Source organism: Homo sapiens, chromosome 1 (assembly GCF_000001405.40).
Source record: "Homo sapiens chromosome 1, GRCh38.p14 Primary Assembly".
NCBI lineage: Eukaryota > Metazoa > Chordata > Mammalia > Primates > Hominidae > Homo > Homo sapiens.
This window is the reverse complement of record NC_000001.11, coordinates 22086099-22104845: the sequence shown is the minus strand read 5'-3', so window position 1 is coordinate 22104845 and position 18747 is coordinate 22086099. Positions and strand designations below refer to the sequence as shown.

Genomic DNA, 18747 nt, shown 5'->3' with positions numbered 1-18747 from the left:
CGCCAAAATTGAGAGGGCTAGTCTAAATAACCTCTAAAAGTCCTTCCCATTGTCTTTTTAAAGAGAGACTCACCTATCATTATCATTCCCATTACTGATAACTTGGCCTGAACCAAGTTCAACTAACTTGAACCAAGTAAGACTATAATATCCTCAAAGCAATTAAAATCAGAGAGGAAATAAACATAATCTGAATCTTCTAGCTCTTTAAAATACTTACAGTTCTACGATATATACAAAACCTAGATTTTGAGAAGCAGTTTTTCTTCCTTATAGCCTTTTAAGACTTTCAAGGATCTCCTTTTTTAAATCCGAGAAGTGTAAGTAATCAGACCTGATGGGACTGTGGAGTCCCGTACTTTCTCTCTACAGCACTTAACACCATCTCTGACATACACATTTTAATCATGTCTGCCTCCCCCTACTAGAATGTAAGTCCCGCCAGTTTAAGAATTTTGTCTTGGTCATCCTACTGCATCATGAGAGGTACTGATATGGTTTGGCTGTGTCCCCACCCAAATCTCATCTTGAATTATAGTTCCCATAATCCCCATGTCCCCACATGTCATGGGAGGGACTTGGAGGGAAGTAACTGAATCATGAGGGCGGTTACCTCCATGCTGTTCTCGTGATAATGAGTTCTCACAAGATCTGATGGTTTTATAAGGGGCTTCCCCCTACCCCCCACCACTTTGCTCTGCAATTCTCTCCTGCCGCCATGTGAAGGACGTGTTTGCTTCCCCTTCCACCATGACTGTAAGTTTCCTGAGGCCTCCCCAGCCATGCTGAACTGTGAGTCAATTAAACCTCTTTTCCTTTATAAATTACCCAGTCTTGGGTATGTCTTTATCAGCAGCATTGAGAACAGACGAATACAGGTACTAAGCAGACGTTTGTTAAATAAATGAATTTATGAACAAAGGAATGAACTGCATTGTTAGTGTTATGTAGGCAAACTAACTATACAGTACCTTCAGATCTATACCAGGTATACCACTAAGGCATACCAAAGAAAAATGCAGCATGTTAAGAAATAATGGCTGTAAATCACTGTAGGCAGTGACTGAATGTGGCAAAATAATCTACTGACAAACAATTAGATGTGTTCCCAAAGTCACTCCTAGTCACCCTCAATCGGGCAAATCACACTTTGTTTCTTCCTTTTATTATTACTATTATTCCCAGAGGTGCATCAGACCCACCACTGGCCCCACGGGGAAGTACCATTAGCTCCTCCAAGAGTTCTATGAGCTAAAAAGGCACTGGTTACGACTCTCAACCCCACAGTCATGATCCATAGATCACTGGTTACTACAAGGTAACAATTCCTTAGAACCTCTATCAGAAGAGAGCAGGACCAGGCTGGCATAAAAGAACACTGGCCTAAAAACAGAGGCCTGAAGTGTAGTCACCAAACAGCTGTACAACTCTAAGCAAATTGTTTTCCTTCCCAGAGACCATACCCTTATTTTAAAATGTAATGAATTATCACCCTTGGCCTATCCACCTCACAGACTGTGGGAATAAACTGAAAGAACGTGACACACTGTGCAAATGTAAAATCTTGGTCATTATTTTCAGGGAGGAAACACAGGCCTCACCACATTTCAGCACTAGCTGGGGTCTTATCCAGAAGGACTTGAGGGTTCATCAGAAAATACTACTGGGATTGCTTGACAGGTTTTTTGAACTGCATTCCTACCCATCTGAACTATTAAACACAGTCTACAGGAAATGCTTAATTCAAACATATTTGCCATTCGGGCTAGCTCTGTAAGTCTCAAGATCTCTAAGCAGCAAGCTTCCCTCAAGATAATCATACAACAGCTAACAATAATAACCAAACACTGTTGTAAGCACTTTACGCACATGAACTTGTCTAATCCTCATGAAACCCCGTGAGGTGATATTGTTACTATCCTCAAAAGAAAAACATCCAAGTTAAATATCTTGCCCAAGATCACACAGCCAGTAAACAGTGAACCCAAGATTCAAAACCAGGCAGTCTGGCTCTAGAGTCTATGTTTTTAATACTACTCTATACTGGCTCCTACAAAACAGACAAGATATAGATAAGCATTCCTGAAATGAATAAATGCCTAAACAAAAGTAAATCACAGTGACAAATTACCATTTTGTACCCACTACCATTATAAAATTGGCTGTTCTTCTATGAGAATTCCCTATCAGACAAAGCTTTGTCTATCCTCTTGTCCGAGTGCTTATTGGAGGAGAGTACCTTATCCCTAAATCCTAATGACAACTCTGCAGAATTGGCTCGATTTTACAGATGTGTAAATCAAGACTCAAAAACTAAAGCAGTTTGCCCAAACACAGCTAGTCATTAACAGAGCCAGATTCAAAGTTAGGGCCTTCTACTCCAAAATATATGTGCTTTTCCTACTATTTAATACAGTTTTTCTCTTTAAAATCAAAAAGTTCTACATAGAACTGGCACTAGAATGATTCCTGAAACATGAACAACAGGAAATATGCTATTTTATATAAATTGTAATGAAGAATGCCAGGATACTTACAAGAAGGGAAACAGATAAGTCTGTGTAAAGGGATCTAGTTTCACCACTGAATTATATTTATGCTTGGATCCTACTAGTATTCCCAAAAGGAAGTGATCCATAAGGTAGGAAAATATCCTGTCTGCCGCTGTTAAGAAGCCGTATTTGGCCAGGCCCAGTGGCTCACGCCTGTAATCCCAGCACTTTGAGAGGTCGAGGCGGGAGGATCACCTGAGGTTGGGAGTTCGAGACCAGCCTGACCAACATGGAGAAACCCCGTCTCTACTAAAAATACCAAAAAATGAGCTGGGCGTGGTGGCACATGCCTGTAATCCCAGCTACTCAGGAAGCTGAGGCAGGAGAACTGCTTGAACCTTCGAGGTGGAAGTTGCAGTGAGCCAAGATCACGCCATTGCACTCCAGCCTGGGCAACAAGAGCGGAACTTCGTCTCAAAAAAAAAAAGCAGCCGTATTTATCCTATAAACAAAAACCAACTCGGTCTTTACTGGTTACTGCTATACATTTTTTTTAAAACTACAGACTGAACCAAACTTAGAATCTCTCAACTATATCAGTAAAAATCTAAAAAGATTCTCCATATAGGGATAATAATCACAAAATTCTTGAAGACTCACTAGTCTACTTGTATATTTAGTATACAGGTTTTATAGATTTTTGTTAACTACCTGTCAATAGCTAGCAAAAAATCCTGAAACTTAAGAGGCTACAGAAATGAACCTGCACCAGTCGTGTTCAAATCCCTTGGCAACACCTTAGAGGTTACTAGGGCTGCACAAAGTTTATCTCTGTTTGCAACAAGGAGGCAGTGGGAAGAGTAAAGCTGCTGGGCCTGCATTAACTACAGCAACTCTGTTTCATACACCTTTTCTGTTTCTACAGTGGGGCTCTATATAAGCTTTTGTTTATGAAAAAGAAGGCCTACTGAAAAAAAGACACAAACCAAAAAGGAACAGAAACTCATTTTATTGAGATGAGGAAACCAAGGCCCAAAAAGGTATGGCAACTTGCCCAAGGAAACTCTGGTGCCTCAACTAGAACCTGGATCTTCAACTTCCAACTGAGAGCTCTTTCCAACAGTGTTATTACTACCATGGGAGAAATGAAGATATAGTATCAAACACCATAATGCAAGTTAGGAGCAAAAACAGGACTTGATTTATCACGCTATATGTACCAGGGTTCACGGAGTTTTCTAGCAGCAGAGGAGATAATCACAAACTCAGCACCCTCCAGTAAAGTCATTCTTACAAGAAGCCAGTGAAGAATTCACAGGTGCCTGCCCACCCTTCACAAGCTGCCAAGAGATGGACCTAACTCCTTAACACCAATAATTCCAATACAATTGTGAAATCCTCAAGTTATGGAGAAAAAGGAGCATTTCTTTAAGAGCTTCAGAATCAAGACAAAAAAAATCCCTCTCCCATCAAACTAGTGCAAACCTTACAAAGGAGGGCTAAGAAGCTAGCACTGGGGCCCCATGGTGGGTCTGGAACTCCATACACATTTCCAGCCCTATCAGAGTTGGTTAGAGATGAAATTAAAAGCCTTACTCTACTCCTGGCAATGAGTATGAGGAGGAAGCCCCTCACTGATACAGCAGTTTAAGACCCAGAAGTCAACAGGGTTTTCTGGTCCTGATTTGATGTGAGCCAACAATGATGACAGTGATGAAGACAGCTGCTATCTACCCCATTCACAGATGAGTACCTTCTACTTGCCAGGCACTATGCTAAGAACCTCACATATAGCAATTCATGTCACTCTCACAACTCTTGGGCAAAGTACAGCTATTTCCACTTCACAGAGAATGCAACACTCAGAGCATTTAAGTTACTTGCCTGAAGACATAGATCAAGTTAGTGGCAGAGCCAAACTCAAATCCAAAGCCTATGCATGTACTTCGCACAACACCAACAATGCCAAGTTGTTTCGCCTCAGTTTTACCATTTGACAAATGACATCATCCATCCCTGCCTCTTTTACAGAGTTGTACTGAGGTCAAGTGAAATCACTAATACAAACATGACTTGAAGTTTAGGAGTTTACTACTTAAACTCAAAAACTGCATGAGTATCCCTGACCGTTTGCAGAGAAGATGAAGGCAGAGCCCCAGTCATCTCCCTGTGCTTGGGTCAAGCTAATGAAAGAAGGGAGCCAGGTTGCAGAGCTGGCTCCAAGCCTCCCTCAGACCTTGGGTATTCACTAAGGTGCAACTTTCTCACCAAACAAACCCTGCTCTTCCCAACTCACAGGCCTATTATACAAAAAAAAAAAAAAAGAAGAAGAAGAAGAAGAAAGAAAAAAAGGCCAGCTGAGCAGACTCTAGAGACAGACTGCTTAAATTCAAATCCCAGTTCCCTCACTTACTAGCTCTGAATTCTTGGACAAGCTAGCTCTGAATTCTTGGACAAGCTTTGTATCATAACATGCCTCAGTTTCCACATATGAAAAAATGGGGGATTGCTGAGAAGACTGAGTTAATTCACACAAAGGCTTAAAAGAGTGCCATGTAGAGAATAAACACTCAAATTTTAAGAAGGACCAAATGACACAATGGGCAAAGGCACCCTACAATCCTCTAAAGCTACACCTTTAGATCCTCTAAAGGAAGAAGGTGTCATATTCTCTCATGCTACAACTGATCCTAAAGTCACCTCCCCCAAAAAGCTCCTACCCAACAAACCTACCCTTACAGATGAAGCCTTTTATGCTGCTTTGCTTGCCCTGTGCACTATATGATGCTTCAACTACGATTTTCAGCTTTGTAATTAATCATATACATTTTATTTCCACATAAGATATGTAATGGTAAGCACACAGTTTCCAAAATCAGACAGATAGGATTTCCAACTCTGGCTGCATATACCAAGCAATTATGATGTCTCAGAGTCCTGCTCCATAAAAAGAAGATACCTGTACTATCAACCTCAGAGCTGTTGTGAGTAGCAAGTGTGATAACACCATGTGCTTAACACAGTGCAAAGGCACACAGTAAGAGCTCAATTAACAAAGCTGTTATTTCGCCAGAATATGTCCCCATTTCTTTTATGATTCTCAGCAGTTAGGGCAGAGCCCTCCTGGATGTGATTAATATTCCTTCCTTAATGCACCAATTTATTTATGGGGGCCTTGAGGCTACCTTTCTTCCTACTGCACCCGTCCCTATGCCGTGGTGAAGCAGGGCCCCCAGCCACTCTGCAAACATGCCTGGGCCCTCCTTTGTTCACATTCCCTCCACTCAGAAATCCATACCCAGCTGGGCACAGTGGCTAATGCCTGTAATCCCAGCACGTTGGGAGGCCGAGGTGGGAGGATCAGCTCAGGAGTTCGAGACCAGCCTGGGTAAAATGGCAAAACCCCCTCTCTACACAAAATGCAAAAATGAGCCAGGCGTGGTGTCACACACCTGTAGTACCTTCTACTCGGGAGGCTGAGGCGGGAGGATCGCTTGAGCTGGGGAGGTCAAGGATGCAGTGACCCAAGACCACGACACTGCACTCCAGCCTGGGTGACAGAGTGAGACCCTGTCTCCAAAAAATAAATAAGTAAAGCTGTAATGACCTATAGCCCAGAAATACTCTAAAATTCATGTCTGACACAAATAAAACCTTAAGAAATCATCTCATGTCATGGTTTTCAAACCAATGGCACATTAATCTGATGGGCTTTAAAGAAGTGATGCCTCTAAAAAATAATTTATAAAAATTTAAATGGTGCTCAGATCCTATTTCAAAACAATATGGCCCTAAGCACTGCTTTCCTTTTTTAAAAATAAGCTTCTTAGGTAACATTACACAGAACCCTTTTAACTTTTTCAAAGTTTCAAAAAGGTTCTATCACCAAGGTGTGCACTGGTCCCTAAACATAGCTCAACAAAGTTCTATCTGGGAATCTTTTAGAAATTAGATTGATTCTCAGGTCCCATTGCATACTTACAGATTCAGAATCTCAGGAGTATTTTTTTTTTCAGCCTTCCCATCTAATTGTTCACCAACCAGGAACCCGAACTGCATTTGAGACCTCAATGATAACTAAGTATGCAATTTTACAGATAATGAGGCCAGAAAAGTGGAAGCTACCTGCCAAAGGGCACGTTGTTAGGAGTAATAATGCAAACTTCATCAAAATAAAAAGATGCTTGTTCAAAATGTAGGCTCCTAGTCTCTACCCCTAAAGATTGAGAGTAAATCCTACAGGGTCCAGGAATCCTGATGACTGAGACAAGTGATCCACAGTTCACACCGAGAAAAAGCACTGCTCTGCGGGACGCATCAGAGCAAACAGAACAGTTATGATCCTGTGCTCTATTGTAATAGGGTTGAGAAAATGCTATACTTACCTTAGCCTTGAAAATCTGTCACTTCTACTTCAGAGATGCATGGTGGACCCAAAATCCATCGAGCATTTATTTGCTTTTGGGGAAATCACCTATGAGACTATGACACTGCATTAAAATCAGGGCTCTCCTCCCATCCTGACCCCACTAATCAGCAATGTGCTTTTAAACCTTCCACTGTACTCCTTTATTAGACATACTTCACATTTTTCTATAACGTAGGGCTTTAAAGACTCACTGGATATGCCTCTAAGAGGCAAGTGTCTAACTTCACAGAAGTTTACCCATTCTGTTCCAAGCTAGTTCTAATGCACAAATTACCTGATGGCAGCAAAACAAGAAGTGCAGGGAGATTCTAGGAGAAACTTAGGTAGAGCCGCAAGAATGCAGTACTCAACTTTGAAAGGCGGACTTAAGAATACACATTTCAGGCCGGGCGCAGTGGCTCACGCCTATAATCCCAGCACTTAGGGAGGCCGCAACGGGCGGATCACCTGAGGTCAGGAGTTCAAGACCAGCCTGGCCAACATGGTGAAACCCCATCTCTACTAAAAATACAAAAATTAGCCAGGCACGGTGGCTCACGCCTGTAGTCCCAGCTACTTGGGAGGCTGAGGCATGAGAATTGCAGAGATTGCAGCAAGCCGAGATCACGCCACTGCACTCCAGCCTGGGCGACAGAGTAAGATCTGGTCTCGAAAAAAAAGTAATAATACAGATTTAAGAGGTAAAACTGGACCTAACACAGCACTGTAAGCACCACAAAAGGAGAGGCCAGGAATGCAGGTTTCACGCCCAGCTCTGCTACCATACAGCTGTGTGGTGACAGGCAAAGGTCATCTAAATGTCCTCACCTTTCCTCACCATGTGCAAGATGCAGGGATTTAAACTAGCTAGTCTCAATTCTGTGATTGTGACATATGAACTAAAAAGGATTACAAATTGTTCCCCACCCAGTTCTCCATCTTAGCCTATTTTCAATCCCACTATCTAAATAAATACAATGTAGAATAACAATCATCTCAATACAACATTGTGTATGAACTGTCCAAGTTGTGCACTGCACAAGGGTACCACATCCAAGGCAGTACTATTTGCTCACAAAATAGATCTGTGTATTTACTGTAACAGTTCTAGCAGGTAGCAACCAAATGCCTTGCTTTGGAAAATAAAATCACTAAATTATTACAAGTCGTTCATAAAGTATCTTTGGAAGGGCCTTTTCTAATTTGCACAAAGGCTCTGTGTGGCCTGGGCAGTGGCCCAGATACCCATCAGGGGTTCCAACTGACCACCTGCACCGCGGCACAGGCACACAGAATACAGTGAGTGGATGAAGCACCCTGTAGGCTATTGAGACCAAAGTCCTTACCTCTGCCTGCTTACATCTCTGCACTGCTTGAGACTGTCATTCTCCAATGTCTCCAGTGCCAGGGAAGGGAACAGGTTTTTGATAAATAATGACAAATGAATGTGTCATGAATATGCATGCACAGATAAAACTTTTACATTACTCTCTTGGGAGCAATGCAAAGTGGAAAGAGATGACATAGTTATTCAAGAGAAAGCAGCTATCAAAACTGTAAGGGAAAGAAAATTCCAAGTAGAAGTCAGGAGACATCTATTTTACTCTCTGTATATCCTCAGTGCCTTAATTGCTTTAAAAAAACCTATTTGTTGAATTTACTAATTCACTGTAAGAATGAATGAATAGGCCGGGCGCAGTGACTCATGCCTATAATCCCAGCACTTTGGGAGGCTGAGGAGGGCGGATCAGGAGGTCAGGAGTTTGAGATCTGTCTGGCCAACATAGTGACACCCAGTCTCCCTTAAAAATACAAAAAATTAGCCGGGCGCAGTGGCAGACACCTGTAATCCCAGCTACTCAGGAGGCTGAGGCAGGAGAATCATGTGAACCTGGGAGGTGGAGGTTGCAGTGAGCGGAGATGCCACCACTGCACTCCAGCCCGGGCAACAGTGCAAGACCCCGTCTGAAAATAAATAAATAAATAAATAAATAAATTTTTTTAAAAAAATGAATGAATAGCACTGACTTGGGATCGGCTATATGCCATCTCTGGGCAATGGAATACGAGAAAGTGTAAATGCGCTTTCCCTTGCCCCTCTTTGGCCCACCATAAGCAAGTCCACACTCAAGCAGCCACTGCTCTCTGGAACTAGGCTCCAGAATGACAAACACAAAGCCCACCTGAGCCCAATCTGAAGGCTAGAGACAAGTTCAGCTGACCCATGAATGAGAAAAATAAATGCTGTTTTAATAAGCTACCGTTGGCATGGTTCAAATGCAACATTATTCTGGCAAGTGAATAAAATAAGGAATTTTTTTTAAGGTGGAGGCACTTTGAAAAAAGACTCATAGTAGTAATTAAAAGTATTCATTCTGGCCAGGCGCGGTGGCTCACGCCTGTAATCCTAGCACTTTGGGAGGCCAAGGCGGGCGGATCACGAGGTCAGGAGATCGAGACCATCCTGGCTAACATGGTGAAACCCTATCTCTACTAAAAATACAAAACATTAGCCAGGCATGGTGGCACATGCCTGTAGTCCTGGCTACTCGGGAGGCTGAGGCAGGAGAATGGTGTGAACCCGGGAGGCGGAGCTTGCAATGAGCCGAGATTGCACCACTGCACTCCAGCCTGGGCGACAGAACGAGACTCCATCTCAAAAAAAAAAGTATTCAAGCATTCAAGCAGCCCTGGAAAGAAAACATGATTGGGCCATGTAATTAAATCACCATGATCTGAAGTCGGGTAGATACAGAGTAAGACTTACAGAAAACAAGTGTGACATAAAGCCACTTCCCTCCAATAATCATTCAGAGATGCCCTAACCATCAGCCCTTCCTGAAAGATGATGGAGTTGCTACTTCCTGGTGAAATGTTGTCCCTTGCCCCACAGTTATATAACAAATTTCTAAATTTGTACCCAGCAAGGACTAAGTTTCAATCCTTCTTGAGCAGGGCCCTTGTTTTGCGAGTTTCTTAGCACCCAGCACCAAAATAACCACTAATTTACCTCACAAATGGAAGAAGAAAAGGAAAATAGTCCAAACCTAACAAGTCAAAGAAGTACCACTATTTAAGCATTCTATGAAGGTAACAATTATGATAGCACAAATTTAGTGACAACTTGCAGGGCAAAAGGAGAAAAAGTACTACTACATTAAATGTACACCAATGTTAACAGGTATCCTAATTACAATATGAAAATGTGAGAAAAATACACCTCAGAATGAAGGAAATATTACAATTGTTCTTTTAAACCACAATCCTTTTCTTCCCCTTTAGAATACACTCCCCTTGTGGCATAAAGTCCAGCTTGAAGAACATCGCTTTAACTATAAAATCTATTTCTGGCCGGGCGCGGTGGCTCACGCCTGTAATCCCAGCACTTTGGGAGGCCGAGGCGGGCGGATCACGAGGTCAGGAGATCGAGACCATTCTGGCTAACACGGTGAAACCCCGTCTCTACTAAAAATACAAAAAATTAGCCGGGCGTGGTAGCGGGCGCCGGTAGTCCCAGCTACTCGGGAGGCTGAGGCAGGAGAATGGCGTGAACCCGGGAGGCGGAGCTTGCAGTGAGCCGAGATCGCGCCACTGCACTCCAGCCTGGGCGACAGAGCGAGACTCCGTCTCAAAAAAAAAAAAAAAAAAAAATCTATTTCTAGGATGTTCAGTAAAACACTTATAAATAGCAATAATATATTAACATCGTATTAAATACTATAAATTCTGACACAAACTAAGCCTGTAAGGACTATTTTCAATAACCCTTTCCAGCCTCTAAATCATACTCCCTGGAGAATATCACTCACCTTCTAAGCCACGACTATAAGCAAGTTTGTTACGTCAAATAGAAAACAATATTTAAATGGAAAACCTAAGCTGCATCCACTTGCTACCCAAGTTCTTCTGACATGCAGAAATCAATCTGAAAATATTTAAGAAAACATTAGCTTCAATCAATCCCCATCATCCTTGTTCTTCTGATACACGGATAATTCGTTGACACAACTGTATGACCTGCTTTATTTCACTTACTCATTTATAAAATAATATACCCATCCAATGACTACTTCTAGAGCCATATCATGTCAAGCATTGCTTTAGGACAAAGATATAGCAATAGTCAAGGACCTATACGCCCCTGACTACACTAAGGATACATATGTCCCTGCTTTCCAGGGTATCACATGATCCAGGTATCTCTCCCTAGTATAGTCAACAAGGAATAAATAAGATGCATTTCTTGGTTAGAACTGTTAAAGCTTACATCTGCCTCTTCCTAACCCCTTCTCAACCAACCCAGCTTAATTCTAGCACAGTATGCAAATCATGCCAAACATGACTCCATGCAGAGAACTATCAAAATGAGGCCACAGTGTACCAACCTTAACTGATTTTAAGGGTTCTTAGTTTCTAAGATTCTCATGCAGATCAGTATAATGTCCTAAAGGTAAATAAACCTTTCTTGCTACCTAAAGAAAATGTATCCCATATTCAGATTCGCAGCACAGAACCTGTATTCTGATAGTAGTAGTTTGAGATAACCAACTAGGTGTGGTGATTCCCAAACTTGGCTACATTTTAGAAATGCCTGGAAAACTTAAAAATCACATTGTTCAAGCTGCACTCCAGTTGGAGAACCACTGATGCAGAAAACTTGGGGGAAAATGAGCTGCTTTTCAATGATCTATGGATTAAAGGTACACTGACATTTCCTTCCACCATGAGCAGTGAGCTTCCTGAACACTGCTTCACTAAGAATTATTATGGACCTACTTGGTATTTAAGGGAAGGGTCAAACTTAGAGGAGAAAGCACAAACCTGAACATATAGAGGGCTAAATATTATCTCAAACTAAAATGCCAGAAAATAAAAATAATAAAGCTTTAAAATTTTATCCCAAAGTTTGTTAGAAATTGATGTTATCAAGAGTCAAATTCCCACTCCTCAATATCTGAAAAGTAAGAGACGGAGGGAAAATAACAACCCTCAGGCTGGCTTGTGAAGGGTTTTTGTTTGTTTAATACATCTGAAAAGAATGCATATACAAAGAATTGAGACATGAGAAAGCATTGGTTCAACACTAATGCATCTACAAGAATTAGGTTTGGGAAGGTGGGAAAGATTACCTCAACATTTTTAAAAATTGGAAACTGCAACCAAAATAAGCTGAAAAAATCCCTATTAACACTTAAGAAGAGTCTGCATTAAGAGTCTTTCCATGATTTTTATTAAACTAGAGAGCCTCACCTGGCTGCTCTAGGGTTCCTCATATGCAAAACAGAAATAAGGGGATTCCCCTGACTGGTCCCCATGTTGTTAAGTGTTCTCCCCACCCCCACCCTACCCCCAGCTTCTTAATGAAGCAGGCCTCCATCCTCCTAACTTGAGAGGATGTGAATCATTCCACAGATGTCTGTCTTCTAGCACCACCCCTCGTATTTCCTCTACATAACAGGTCTTCAGCTGCATTCTAGGAACACCATATACTACTGAGCTGCAAATCTATGCTAAGCATATAAGACAATGACTGAAAGGGAAAAAAATTTTTTTAATTACAAACTCAATTCATTTGGTGCATTTCAAAGGTGCAATACTTTTCTTCATTTATCAGTGAAAGAAGTTAGAAATTAACTTCCCAAAAAAATCAGCAAATGGCAAACAAATGTCCTTGAAAGTCACAGTCACATATAGTGCGTCCTAGAAAAGAGGAGGGGCAAGATGGGCTCCACCCACTTTCATGAGTTTCATCAAATACTGGATCTACTCAAGGGTGGAGAGAAAAGGCAACTTTCAAAAAGGAGTATGTTATTAAATGAGGCATTTACTATACTCCTTCCTAAGAGCACCAGATGGGGAACATGTTTTCTAAACTAGATCTAGGAAGTGGAATGTGGAATCAATCCGTCCTCCTCCCCTTAAGGGCTAACCACTGGTTAATGAATTAAAAAAACAAGACTAAAAAACAAACCCCACACACACTCCCCCCCAAAAAAAAGAGGAGGGAAAAAAACAAAACAAAACACTAAGATGTCCCAGATTACTCTCCAGAGTGGAACCAGGGAGCAGCTTCAACAATTCCAATTAGTCTGTTACAGAGTCATCCACAAGCATGCCTTGCTTTTAAACAACAAAAAAAAAAAAAAAAAAAACACACACACACAAAAATTTTTTTTTTGAAACAACAAAAAAAAATAGTACTAATCACTTTTCTGACAATACAATTACTCAAAATTAACTAGTACTGGGAGGGGGAAGGGGGGGGCCATACCTATGGGCCTTGTCTCACACGAGTGCATGTGGGTAGGTGCAGGGCATTTGTCATTATTGCAAAAACGAATTTTAATTTTTAATCTTTAGTTTGATTTAAACATTGCTTTTAGTATGATGCCGACACCAGCTGTGCAGAAAGGGCTCTGGAGAGATGTTCATAGCAGCACACACCTGCGGCTCTTCTTCGGTTCTGGAGGCTCCAGGGCAGCCAATATTGCTTCGTCAAATACATTCTTTAGGCCTTTCTGAAAAGGGGTAGAAAGAAAAAATGGGCGGTCTGATTTTCAGTATAATAAAGTTGGAGTTCAAATTTAAAACATTCAAACCCCCAAGAGTTGGCAAAGAAAGAAACATTAAAAACAACCCTGAATCTCAACACAATAATCTCACTTCACCAAGATTTGTCCAGGGCACTGGAAGGATTCAGCAATTCAGGAGCAGAGGAGCAGATATTCATGAGTGAGACAGTGGTCCTTTGAGAAAGCTTTGCGCAGACCAATGTATGTCACAAGAAGCAAACAAGCACATGTGTCATTTGCTCATTCAGTATGAGTTTTGTAATGTGCTGCTGAAACATTTTACATAAAAACAAGGGAAGCAGCTCTGCATTCAAATGAAACAGCTGGATATGAAACAGAGGACTGAGAGGACGGGCACGGGTCAGTGGCATCCTTATTCTATGGAAGGCACAGGCAAAGAGAGAGAGAGGGTGATTATGGTAGCTGCAAAGATAGTCACTTTGAACTCCCTTTATCCCACCAGTTAGACAGAGTCAAGGAGATTCAAGGGAGCAAAAATGTGGGTACCTGATACATACGTAAAATTAGAGCCAGTCAGTGCAACAGGAATAAAGCTTCATCAGGCATTTATACAAACGGTTGTATATTTTTAATTTCAAAATTTGAAGGTAACCACAATTGTATATTTCCCTCACAATAAAATCAGAAGCAGGAAAATATAAAGGTGGCAGCTTTACATCTCAGCATTAACAAACTGTAAGTCAACTGTTTAAATGGATGTTATTCTTAAAAGATAATGTAACAAATGAACTCATAAAGCAGTAGCAGATACATCAATATCTTCCCCACCCCAGACTGACAAATACTCCACTACAGCACAGACAGCCAAAGCAACAGCAACACAAAGTTTCACCGCACAAAGGAAAACCAGAAAAGAATCCTCCCTTCCCCATTACACTCTACTAGGTCACCCCTTTTCCATAAGGTTTGTCATGCAATTACAATTAACAATTGATCATAAGAGTAAAATGATGTTTGTGTTACTTTCTCCATCTAGAACTAAGATCTAGAAGTGTTAAAACTCTTGTTATTTTCTCCAAGAGGACATTCTTAAAGCCAGACCAAGTTCCCTTTTGCAATAGTAATCCAAACCAAAAAGCTCTGAGCATCAGGCAACTCAAGCAGCAGAACGTTAAAACAAGTCCAACTTGACTACTGATCACAAAAAATTTATATGATATTGCATTCTTGATCAAAAACTAATACAGAGGTTGCTCTAAGGTGGTGAGTAAAAAGACGCAGAGGCTTTCAAACAGGATGGTTTTATTCCTTTGTTTTTAAACGATCTTTCTACAGTAGTGGGACAGGAAGCAGCAGCAAAGAAGGGAAGGAGAAAACAGTTTAGAATATACAGCACTTCCTTTTGGGTTGAGTTTCCGGAGGCTCGAGGGCAGCTAGGATAGCCTCATCAAACACATTCTTCAGACCTCTCTACAAGACAGAGGGGAGGAGAGAGAATAGCAGCCAGGTTAGAGGATTAGAAAGACTAGCAGGTACAACAGCAGTCCGGATTAAATGAGCTGAATTCACAGAAGCAATGTGCCTTAAGAAAAACGCTAGAATGCTAGATCTTAAGCCCATTATAACCAGGAGAGTAGATAACTGACCAAAAACTTCACCTCAAGCAAGGTTAACTGAGCAGGAAAGCAATTTTTATTAAAATGCAATATGTTGACTTCTAACACATTTTGGAAATAAATCTATTACAATTTCAGGCTTATGTGAATTCAGCCCCTGAATAACTGAAGGACACAAATAGCAGACTAACAGGCATGCTATGTGTTTCTAGGTTCAATGACATATCTGAATGTGATTAATCAAGATTTCAGAGTAAACTGGTTTCCCAGAACGGAAAGGTTCAGACATTTAAAAAGTGTTAATTGTGCAACAGTACCAACTAGAAGGACTTTAAAGAACAGACTCTAAAAACAGCATACACTTCAGTTATTCAGCAATGTTATTAGAGCAAGTAACCACCACCCAAGTCATAAGAAAACAAAGAATGGGGTCCTAGAATGAGTTTTAGCAAGCAGTCCAGTGCTTTAAGATGTCTGCATGGGTATCAGAGCATAAAGCATGGAGTGAAAACGAAGAATATTCTCAGATCTTACGGGGATTAAGATACAGAAATACACTTACACCTCAGCCAGAAACTCCAACATGACAGTGTGACTCAGCATTGGTGGTACTTAGGACCCAGGTCTACAGACTCACCTAAAATCACCTAAATCTGAAGCCACAAGTTTACCACCCAAGGTTGTTTCACATGTTCTTTAGTTTGATCAGTTTGATCCCAAGTAAATATGTCCTAAAAGTCCCAGAACACAGCTCCAATTGTAAGTGCCAACCCCAGACCACCCCAAGTGTTCCCACCTCCACCCTGCCCCCATCCATGACATCCCACAGGACTGGTACCCACATGTCACATTAGACACAAAATAAATCAGAAACAGCAGTAAATTCTTTAAAAGCAGCAAAAGTTAAAAAGCCTTCCTCTTTCTACATCATTTACAAAGTAGAAATGCCACATAAAAGTTAAAATTCCACTGCAATTCTTTCTGCACATCTAGGAACCAACTCTGGCAGTAAAATATAAAAGGAAGGAAGGAGTACAGAAAGGGAAATATACTTTATAAGGAAAAAAAGAGGAGGAGGACTATTAGAAACTGGAGTGTATCCCTTAACAAGAAGGAATTCCTTTCTTGCTTACCATGGACGAAGATCAACAAATGCTCTATGAAACAAAACTAATCTTTGCTTGACCACCATCTGTTTATATTAAGACTTTAGTTTTAGAGGAATCAACAAACAGAATCTGTAAGCCTCAAAGTTCTAGCTCCCAAACACAACCACAGACCCCATTTTCTAACTTCCCCTCTTTTGACTTCTCCATACTTCAAACTCTGGTAAGAAAAATGTACCTGCTAAGACCTTTTAAACTTCATACTCTCTACAAACGGATTTACTATATACACCTGTTGATACTGTAAAAATCTTACATTAAAAGCATCCAATTATCTAAAGCATCACTAGTAACCTAAAAGTGAATCCACAGGGCCTATGTGTCTTCCCTCAAAGCAACCCATATCTAGAGAACAGAGGTATGCATCAGAAGCACACAGAATTAGTGTCTAACATGGACATGAGTGTTTCACACATGACTTTCCCTTGTCTCCCCCAATATACACACACAGGCACACTTTTCTGGGAATGTTACTAAAACACACAGAGAAGCACCAGGCATTTTTTAAAACTCTCAAAACAGTTGCTATGCATGAGAAGGTGTAAAATCTTCTAAACTTTTAAATAACTGCTTCTATAATAGCACTAAACTGCCCAAAAAAACGAGGATTAGAAGATTATGTTTAAATCATCTGATACTAGGCCTCGAAGTTATTTTGAGGGATATCCCAGTTAAGCATAAAAGTTTTATCTGTAAATATCCAACCAAGTACTAAACTTACTATTAAATTATGCACTAGGCCCTATAAACTAAATACCTAGTGCATATGTAATAAGTAATCATATATGCCATTTACCCTAGTATACACGTAGTTAAGAATCCAATAGTGTTTTTTAGAAACACAATAAAAATGAATGAATTACCTGAAAACATAAGCATAAATATAATGAGTTTAATATAATTATTAGAAACCTCCACCCTTCAATCTTGCCCTATTAGGCATGTCTGCTCAGTGTTCAAACTTCAAAGCACCAGTACCAGTAGAACATAAAACTTTTGTGCTAATTATTTCCATAACCTTTTCCTTTGCCCCCAGAACAGTACTCAAAGGACGGAATCAGCGATATCATGAAGGTGAAAAAGTTTAAACCATACACATCAGTTACAAGTCCCATTCCAAATACCCTAACATTGCTCCCTATCTTCAAAATCTGAGTTTCCCATCAAACTACAAAAGGAGTTCCAATTAAATCACTCAAAAACGGCCGGAATGCATGAGGAAGGAATACTTCCAAAAATATAGGAATAGGGACACTATATAAAGCACGCTTGAGAACTGTGGCAGAAATAGCCATGGCTGCCTTCTTTGACATTAAAGTCTCAATTATTATGACTAATTCCCTATCCTGGTTGAATTGCCCAAGAAACAGTATAGTATCAATTGTCAGAATTGGCAAGAAAAGATCAGACATATTCAGATGAAAATTTAAGTGTTTAGAAAAAAAAAAAATCATTCACATCGTCTCTTGCAAGTTTATGCTTATCTGAACCTTTCCTGTAAGGTTTTTGTTTTAACACAACCCTGACCACTACGAATCATTCAGTACAATACGAGAGCTTACCAACACAAGGGGTTTAGGAACTAATAATATTCTCCAAAAAACACAGAGGCCTCTAACAAAAGAACATACAATATGAAGCTGTTCATATTCTTGCTGGGCATCTTTGAGCACTGCTGATCACTGTTAGAAATAACTCCTGTATCCTAATGCTCTAATAAATGACTCGACCATAAATACACATGGGGTTTCATGCCATTCTTACCTGTGTAAGTGCAGAACACTCCACATACTTGACAGCCTTCAGGTCACGGGCCAGCTTTTCAGCAGTCTCTGGAGTGATAGGCTTCTGTTTGTTCTTGGCAAGTTTCTCAATAGTAGAGGGGTCATCTCTGAGATCAATTTGAGTCCCAACAAGCAAGAAAGGAGTCTTTGGACAGTGGTGAGTTATCTCAGGCACCCACTAAAAAAAGGTATTTTAAAATACACCTTTGTTAATCAACAAGCCTCTAATGCTATTTATAACAGGTCAGTAGAAATTCTGAGATGATCTTCTTAGGGCAAGAGTATCTGATCAGCTTACCTTTTCTTTCACGTTTTCAAATGAAGATGGAGAGACCACTGAAAAACAGACTAGAAATACATCTGTTTGTGGATAACTCAGCGGTCGTAATCTGTCATAATCCTCTTGCCCTAGAAAAAAGAAAAATATTGGAGAGAATTCAGCAACTGAATCTTGGTGTCCTCAAAGTGTTAAAAGCATGCTGGTCATTACTCAAAAAGCAACTTACTTATCTAATAAAATGTATGGCTTTGTAATATAATATGTGGGCAATATTCTCAATCAGCTAATTCTACAAACTTCAAGCACTCAGAACAGCAATGAATTTACTATTATGTTATTTGCTTTTATTACCAGTTTGTGGTGTTCAATCTTTGTGTCCATTAGAAACCCAATAATAAATGTAATAATAAACTCTTGCTACAGAAATGGTTAAAAATCAATCCTTGTAATCCCAGCACTTTGGGAGGC

The 18747-nt window shown here is 40.5% G+C and overlaps 1 protein-coding gene across 3 annotated transcripts in view, besides 2 other annotated features; it reads right to left on the bottom strand.

The window, feature by feature from the left end:
• CDC42 (cell division cycle 42) overlaps positions 3486 to 18747 on the bottom strand; it is a 48652-nt gene continuing 33390 nt past the window's right edge. For 2 of the 3 annotated variants that reach the window (NM_001039802.2, NM_001791.4), the window contains 3 exons: positions 18298 to 18407; positions 17980 to 18177; positions 3486 to 13418 (listed from right to left, as the gene is read on the bottom strand). In NM_001039802.2, the coding sequence (NP_001034891.1) occupies positions 13329 to 13418; positions 17980 to 18177; positions 18298 to 18407 (398 nt within the window). In that variant the 3' untranslated portion in view covers positions 3486 to 13328. Of the gene's footprint in view, positions 13419 to 14038; positions 14904 to 17979; positions 18178 to 18297; positions 18408 to 18747 lie in introns of those variants that run through there. The other variant, NM_044472.3, reaches the window with a different exon arrangement.
• Positions 14736 to 15030: a silencer, noted in NCBI's record as "tiled region #8542; HepG2 Repressive non-DNase unmatched - State 19:H4K20". NCBI's record gives its function as "represses a minimal TATA promoter and a strong SV40 promoter by Sharpr-MPRA in HepG2 cells {active_cell/tissue: HepG2}" and the evidence as "EXISTENCE:reporter gene assay evidence [ECO:0000049][PMID:27701403]".
• Positions 15566 to 15635: an enhancer, noted in NCBI's record as "active region_348". NCBI's record gives its function as "activates an Ori minimal core promoter by ATAC-STARR-seq in GM12878 lymphoblastoid cells {active_cell/tissue: GM12878}" and the evidence as "EXISTENCE:reporter gene assay evidence [ECO:0000049][PMID:35858748]".